This window comes from Homo sapiens, chromosome 9, assembly GCF_000001405.40.
Source record: "Homo sapiens chromosome 9, GRCh38.p14 Primary Assembly".
Lineage (NCBI taxonomy): Eukaryota > Metazoa > Chordata > Mammalia > Primates > Hominidae > Homo > Homo sapiens.
In genome coordinates, this window is record NC_000009.12 from 41,691,847 (window position 1) to 41,699,039 (window position 7,193).

General features: G+C 44.8%; 1 long non-coding RNA gene across 1 annotated transcript; it reads right to left on the reverse strand.

The window, feature by feature from the left end:
* Nucleotides 1-2,510: 2,510 nt before the first annotated feature.
* FAM242F (family with sequence similarity 242 member F) lies at nt 2,511-7,155 on the reverse strand. The gene is made up of 2 exons (NR_135136.1): nt 6,994-7,155; nt 2,511-2,689 (listed from the first exon to the last, which is right to left on the reverse strand). It is a non-coding gene; the product is annotated as a family with sequence similarity 242 member F (long non-coding RNA).
* Between the last annotated feature and the right edge of the window lie 38 nt (nt 7,156-7,193).

The following is a 7,193-nucleotide window of genomic DNA, read 5'->3' on the forward strand; positions in this document are numbered from 1 at the left end:
TTTCCCTCGACCCTGGAGTCTTCACAGACCTTCCTTCCACTGTGAGGCACTGGATAATCACTTGAGACCAGACTCAGGGAACTTCTCCCTCATGGGAAGACATTCATCCACTCCATGTCTCTGAAGCCCCAAGAGAAGGATCTGAATCCCCTAGTCTGAAGAGTCAGCAAGTTTCCAACATAGCAATCATGATAAAAAGGGAGAATTGATAAAGGAGGGAGCAGCCCCAACTCAGTAACAACAGAGGGAGGAAAATTCCAGCTAGTACGTGTACTTAATATGAAAGCAGACATGTGCCAAGACCCTGCTTTCATGGATATTAGGTGTTCCCAAATATAAGAAACACCCATTCTTGCCCACAGGCCTCACTGGATACTATCCAAGATGTCTAGAGAATAAGAGGAAAGAGAGAATCATAATATCCAAAAGGTGGAAAAAACCCAAATGTTCACCAATAGATGAACGGATAAACAAAGTGTGATATATCCATACAATGGAATATTAGTCAGCCTTGAAAAGGAATGAAGTACTGATAAATGCCACAACATGGATGAACCTTGAAAACACTATGCTCAATGAAAGAAGCTAGTCACAGTAGGTCTCTTATTATATGATGCCATTCATATGAAAGTCCGGAATAGGGAAATCTACAGAGACTGAAAGTACATTAGTATTGTTAAGGGCAAGAAGGAATATGGGAGGATAGGGAGGTGATAGCTAAAGGTTACAAGATTTCTTTTTAAGGTGATGAAAATGTTCTAAAATTAACTATGGTGATGGTTTGGCATACCTGTGAATATACTAAAACCATTGAATTGTACATTTCAAATGGTGAATTGTATGACACATGAATTATACCTCAAGAAGGTTGTTTTTTAAAAAGACAGCATAAGGGGTAGGGGGAAGTTGAGATGAAGCAGGAAAACTGTGATCAGAAACAAAGCTCAGGGGCTGTCTGGCCTGGCTGCCCCAAGTCAAAGCCTGCATTTCATACAGGTAATGTTAGGGTAGCCCCCAAGCCATGATTCAGAAAGATAAATTGACCCCAGAAGGTATAGGGCTGGGTCCCTTCTCCCCTGACAGCTCCCTTTCTGTGTTTTTTCTGGCACAAGAAACTCTGTCATCTTGTATAAATAGGAGAAATTTATGACAGTTTTCCCTCTTCTTCTCCCTGGTGGGCTACTAGGAAAGGTCCCGGGGGAGGAGGGAGCCTGAAATTCCAAAAATATAAATGTGGAAAGACTGGAGGGGGTCGAGGAGTCTCTTTGCCTGCCTTGACTCTGGCCCCAGCTCTCCTTTCCCTTTGCATGTTTGACCATCTGGGTGATGCAGAGGGCAGAGAGCTGGTGCAGCCCGTTCTCTCTGCAAGCCCAAAAGAGATGGGTCCCAAAGCAGATATCCGACAGGAGGGGCACAAGGGAAATCAAGAAAATAGGCTTGGCTGTCCCATGAAATAATTGGAGGACACACAGACCACTGCCCTCCTTCCTGGATTTGGCTATTTTTGTACTTCCCTGTTTGTTGAGGCAGCCTGATACAGTGGGAAGAGAACTCGTCCTCGATTTAGAAAGATTGACAGAGAAACTAAGTGTGTGACCTTAAGCAAGTCATATCTTCTCTCCGGGCCTCACCTGTAAAAAGAGGGAGGGGACTGAATTTATCAGGGGTTTTCAAATGAGTTTAACTCTGGGGTCCTTCCTTCAAATAAAACCGTATGTAGTGACCCAACATGAACACGAGTAGTAGCCTGCTGAGCTTCTTGAAGGTAGGAATGGGAGTCAGGGCCCTGTGGTGACTGGTGAGAGGCTTGTCCAAGCACAAGATGATCTCCATGGCCTTTCCAGCCCTGTCCTCAGGAGGGATTTGCCCCCATGGTGAAGAGGCTCAGTTCTGTACACCCAGTGGGCTTGAAATCCAGCTCCACTCCCTCTTGTGTGTCCCTCAGCACATAACTTACCTTCCTTGAACCTGTTTCCTCTTGTTTAAATTGGAATAGTAACACATATCTCAGAGGATTGTCACATAGATTACACTAAATAATGTGCATAGAGTCCTTTGCATACTATCTGGCCCAATAAATATTATTATAGTTATTCCGTGATCTGATGTAATCAGTTTTTTATTTTGAGACAGAATCTCATTTTGTAGCCCAGACTGGTGCACAGTGGCATGATCTCGGGTCACTGCAACCTCCGCCTCCTGGGTTCAAGCAATTCTCCTGTCTCAGCCTCCCAAGTAGCTGGGATTACAGGAGTGTGCCACTGTGTCCAGCTAATTTTTGTATTTTTTAGTAGAGATGGGGTTTTACCATGTTGGCCAGACTGGTCTCGAACTCCTGGCCTCAAGTGATCCACCTGCCTCAGCCCCACACAGTGCTGGGATTACAGGCATGAGCCATCGCACCTGGCCTGATATAATCTTTTTAATTTGAAATATCTGGTGTGAGAAGGTGAATTGGAAAGGATGACAGCAAAACTTCTATAACACAAAGGCCCCCAAACACAGTAGCATATAGAAAACAGAAGTTTATTTCTCACTTAGTCTGGGAGGAAGTTGTTCCAGATAGCAGGCAGCTCTGTTCCTCCTAGTCAGTCAGGGACGTGTGTTCCTTTCATACCTTTGCTTTGTCTTCTCTTAGAGATGTCTTTTCAGTTGCCTGGTCAAACCTGTGTCAGGCACATCTGCCCAGCTCATGAAAGAGAGAACACAAGGGAGAATTTACCCAATCTGTCAGGCTTTGAGGACATGCTCACCTCACATTCCCCTGTGTCTACACCTGGCAATAAGAGCAGCTGGGAAATGGAGTGTCCAGCTGGGTGTCCCTCCACCCTCGTGCAGCAAGGAAAGAAGAGATTTTAGTGGACAATGGGCAGTCTTAATCCAGGGCTCAAACCCACGCCTGAGCTGTCCTCTTCCTCTTCTCTTCCCAAAGGAAGGGAAATAAAGTCTACAGCCCAGAAAACAATGTGACCAGCCATCCCCTACCCAATCAGGTCCCTGCCATTCATCCCAAGATCAGCTGTCTTTCTTGGGAAAGTGGCTTGGAAGCCTCTCTCCAGAAAGACCACCCTTCTGTCCATCTTCTTCACATGGGTGGATTTGAGAAAAGTTTCTGTCCCCACTGCCTGCCTGCCACTCCCTGTCTCAGTTTCAGCTCACGCTCTAGCCCTTCGTTCCCAGTCACCAAGAATGACTACAAATGCGGGGGAACAGGAGGACTTGAAACAGTCATGGAAATTGAGACTGGGGCACAGAAGCCATGCTCAGAGGCAGCGTAGGTGAGGGTTCTGATGCCAGGAAATCCAGCTACTACTGTGTAACCTAAAGCGGGGATTAAGCTCTCAGAACTTCAATGAACTCTTTTGGAAATAGGGATAAGAAACCCACTTGTCAGGGCTGTTGTGAACATCAAATGTGATCATGTATGTACCTAGTACATAGTATGCCTTCAATAAATGGTAAGGCAAACCCAAGGCAAATTGAACTCATGTCCATTACTCTGACCCAGCCTTTGCATAAATTGTTTTTTCTTCTCCTTCCTTGTCAATGCATGGCTCCCTCCCTCTTCTTTACTTCCTATCCTCATTCCCCTACCATCTGAACCCTGATGTGGAATCCCTTTTCTCAGGAAATCTTCCATGATTGAAACATTCCTGCTTGGCCACTTCCCACTCCAATACTCTATCTTCGCCCATCTTCCATCTACCCCATGGTCCTGGCCCAAGTTTACACGTGTCCCATTTCTCCCTTCAAAAAGCATGCAACAATGGAAGGGCTTTAAGTTTGCCATCAAGCAGATCAGAGTTCAGATGCCAACTCTGCCAAGTTCTAGCTTTAGGACTTTGTCAGATCACTTCCCCTCTTTGAATCTCTGTCTTCCCAACCCTCTGGTGAGGTCAAGTGTGTGTGGGCTGGTACATAAAGGATATTTAATCTCCTCTGCTCTACCCAACCTCCCCCAACTCACACTCCCAGGACTAACTCTCTACTAAAGGGAGTTATTAGACCAAGAAAGTAATTCTCCCATTACCAGCCCCACCCCAACCCTGCTGAGGGAAAAAGAAGTGACTTCGAGTCTATGGGTCTTGGAGGGACCACCAACCCAAGAGCTAGAGCAGAGGAAGGACTTGGATATCCCAGATTCCAGGGTTATAGGATCTCTCCCCAAGCCCTCATATGCAGCCCCAGTTGCAGGACTAGCTTCAGGGATAGGAGTGAAAGAGTTGATCTGATTCCAGTCTTAGCCTGTAAGTAGTAGCTCACCTGTGCCTCTATTTTCAACCTTCCTAGATCAGAAGAGCAACAATATCAGTGACAACTAATGCTTACATAGTGTTTCCTATGGGATGGGCATTGTTCCAGGCTCTTCGTACATATAACTCATTTAATCCTGACAGCAGCCTTTGAGCTAGGTACTATTAACCCCATTTTACAGACAAGGAAACTAAAGCACAAGGGGTTAAGTAACTTGCCTAGGTCATACAACTCACATAAGGCATGACTGAGATTCAAAACCAGGCCGTCTAGCTCCAGAATCCATCCTGTTAACCACTCTGCCATAAAAAGAGCTAACATTTACTGGCAGGTTCTATGTGTCAAGCACTGTGGAAAACACATGGCATGTATTTCCTCTAATTCCAAATAACCCCCTGAGATAAGTTCTATTATTAGTATCCCTGTTTTACAGGTCAAGAAACTAAGGCAGAGAGAAAAGTTAAGCAACTTGCCCTGAGTCACACAGCTAGATATTAATAGTTTCAGAACTCCTAGCTGTTTTGCCTCAAATCCCACCTCCCCACCCCTGCTCAAAGCCCCTCCCCTTCTAGGTGGGTTGTTTAGTTCCTATCACCAGTTCTTCACAAATCGGCTTTACCCCCCACAGCCTACAACCCTTGTTCTCCAAAACTCCTGTTGACCTCTGTCCCTTTCCCTTCCCACTTTCTCTCTAGACCCTCTGCTCCCCACAAAGTCCCCCAAACCATTCTGTCCCTCTCCCTCTGCTCCCCACCCACCCTCCCCCACAACTCCTGCTAAAACAGATGAATTTCACCAAAAAAGACCATCAGACCTTCCCCAAGCAGGCCCCCACTGTGCCTGATTGCACACCCCCAGGGGAGGCACCACAGTGGCTAAGCTGGAGAGCCAGAAATAAAATCCTCATTCTACTTCCCTGCCCCTTCTTCCCATCACTCATCTGGGAATCCAGGGCGAAGAAGGGAGCTAAAGTGCAGAGCATTCATTTAATATTAACAAATTGAAATGAATTCTTTTAATGCCAATTAACTTGGAGCGGCCCCTTATTAATAGTAATTTAGATTCATACTTGGGAGAAGCAGGGACGAGGGCTGGGCCAAATGTGCCCAGAATGTCAATGTGACTGGGGAACTGAAAGGGGAAGGGTGGCAGTTTTACTTCTGCCCAGTTGGGTTCTGTTTCCCTGAGAGAAATGGACAGTCACTGGAGGCGGATCTTTGGGAAACATAAATTACTCTTGTAAGTTTATTTTTGTTACTTCAAGGAATCTGAATAGTTTGACGCCAAGTCACACCATTTTAAGAGTTTATTTTCACAGTAATGCTAAAAAGAAGAATTTCCTCAGAGCTGGGATTTACTTCAAACTCTCTCCTAAGCCAAACCTTACTGACCAAAGGGACAAGTCCCCAGGCCAGCTCTCTACCCTTCTTTGTTCAGAGCTAGAGCCAGAGATCAATATGGGCTTCCCCACTCCCTGCCCCTTCTACCTTACCCAAAACTAAAAGGAAGAATCAACACTGTGTGTCTCTCTGAGAAGTCTCCCTCAGGAGATAAAAGACCCAAAGGGCTGACCCCTAAGCTAACAGCTTACATTTAAGGAAGAAAAACAATCTGCCTGCACTTTTCTTAGAATTTAGGGAAAAAAGGAGAATTTAAAATTCAATTTCATGTATCAGAGTTCTCCAGAATACAGCCAAGTGGAAAGAACTTAGTCCCAAATGAAAAAGTTGAGCAGAAATTCTTCTCTCACTCGTTTTGCCGGCTTGGAGGTCAGACTGGAGGTGTCCTGAACTAGAACCAGAGCATAGGTTCTGACCCAAGAAGGACACTGTCTACTTCCCAGGCATCCCTCCTTGGCTGGGAGGAGAGGGGAGGATGAGTCCATTGGAAGCTGAGAATTGTGGAAGCTGGGGATGGGAGTTTTGAGATGGAGGAGGCAGGCGTGTGAAGGAGGTCAGGGAAAGGCAAGTAAATCTACTAATCATTGCAGTTTATAAAATAAAAACCTTAAAAATGGTTTAACATGCAAAAGGTTAAATTTTAAAAAGAGGCCAGGTTTTAAAGAAGGTAAAATACCTCAATTTTAGACATAATAAAAATGAGGAAAATACTCAAAACATTTCAAGCAAATTGTTCTTCAGAAGAGGAGAGGTTGGAATTAATCAAGAGACCTTTGTTACACACACATCCCCCAAGAGTTTCCCAAACAATAAATTCATTTACAAAACAAAATAGGAATCAACACAAAACCTCATCCACATACAGAGAAAAATAAATTGTGGTGATTCTGTAACAGCTGAAAAACTAGTGAGGGAGGAGAAAAATGAATAAACTCTAAATCCATTAGGTGATATTTATAAATAGCAAAATTGGAGGATGGAATGGAGAAAAGAGTTGAACTTATCATTAAAGAAGTAACACATGTGAAAACATAAGGTGTAACTCATCCCCAAAGAAAAGTAAACTCTCCATAAAGTAGCAAGTATAGAAATTTATTGAAAAGGAGGAAAGTACCACTCACCCCCCCAATATAAGCGTATTAATTTGAATTAAAATTTTCTCCAAATCCGAGATAGGTTACGCAAAAGAATACAAAAAGATTATTTTTCTTTCAACTAAGAGGAAAAACAAAATCCGATTTAAATTCACTAATGGGACAAGAAGGGAGGCTGTGGTTTGCAGGTGCTAGTAAACGGGATGAGGGTTGTGAAGAGTTTGAGGGGTAGAGGACCAGCTTACCTCGCTTTGGAGCCGCAGCGGCCAACAGGAGTGGGCAAAGGACCCTGCCAGTGCCTGAGTGATAGGGGAAATAAGGAATAGGGGATTCGGGTGCCCCTAGACGAATGAGGAGGATGGAAAGACTGGGGGTGCCCATCTCCCCTCCTCTGCCCGCCTCCCTCCCTCCGGTACCCAGGCCTAGAGAGCTACTGAAAGTTACA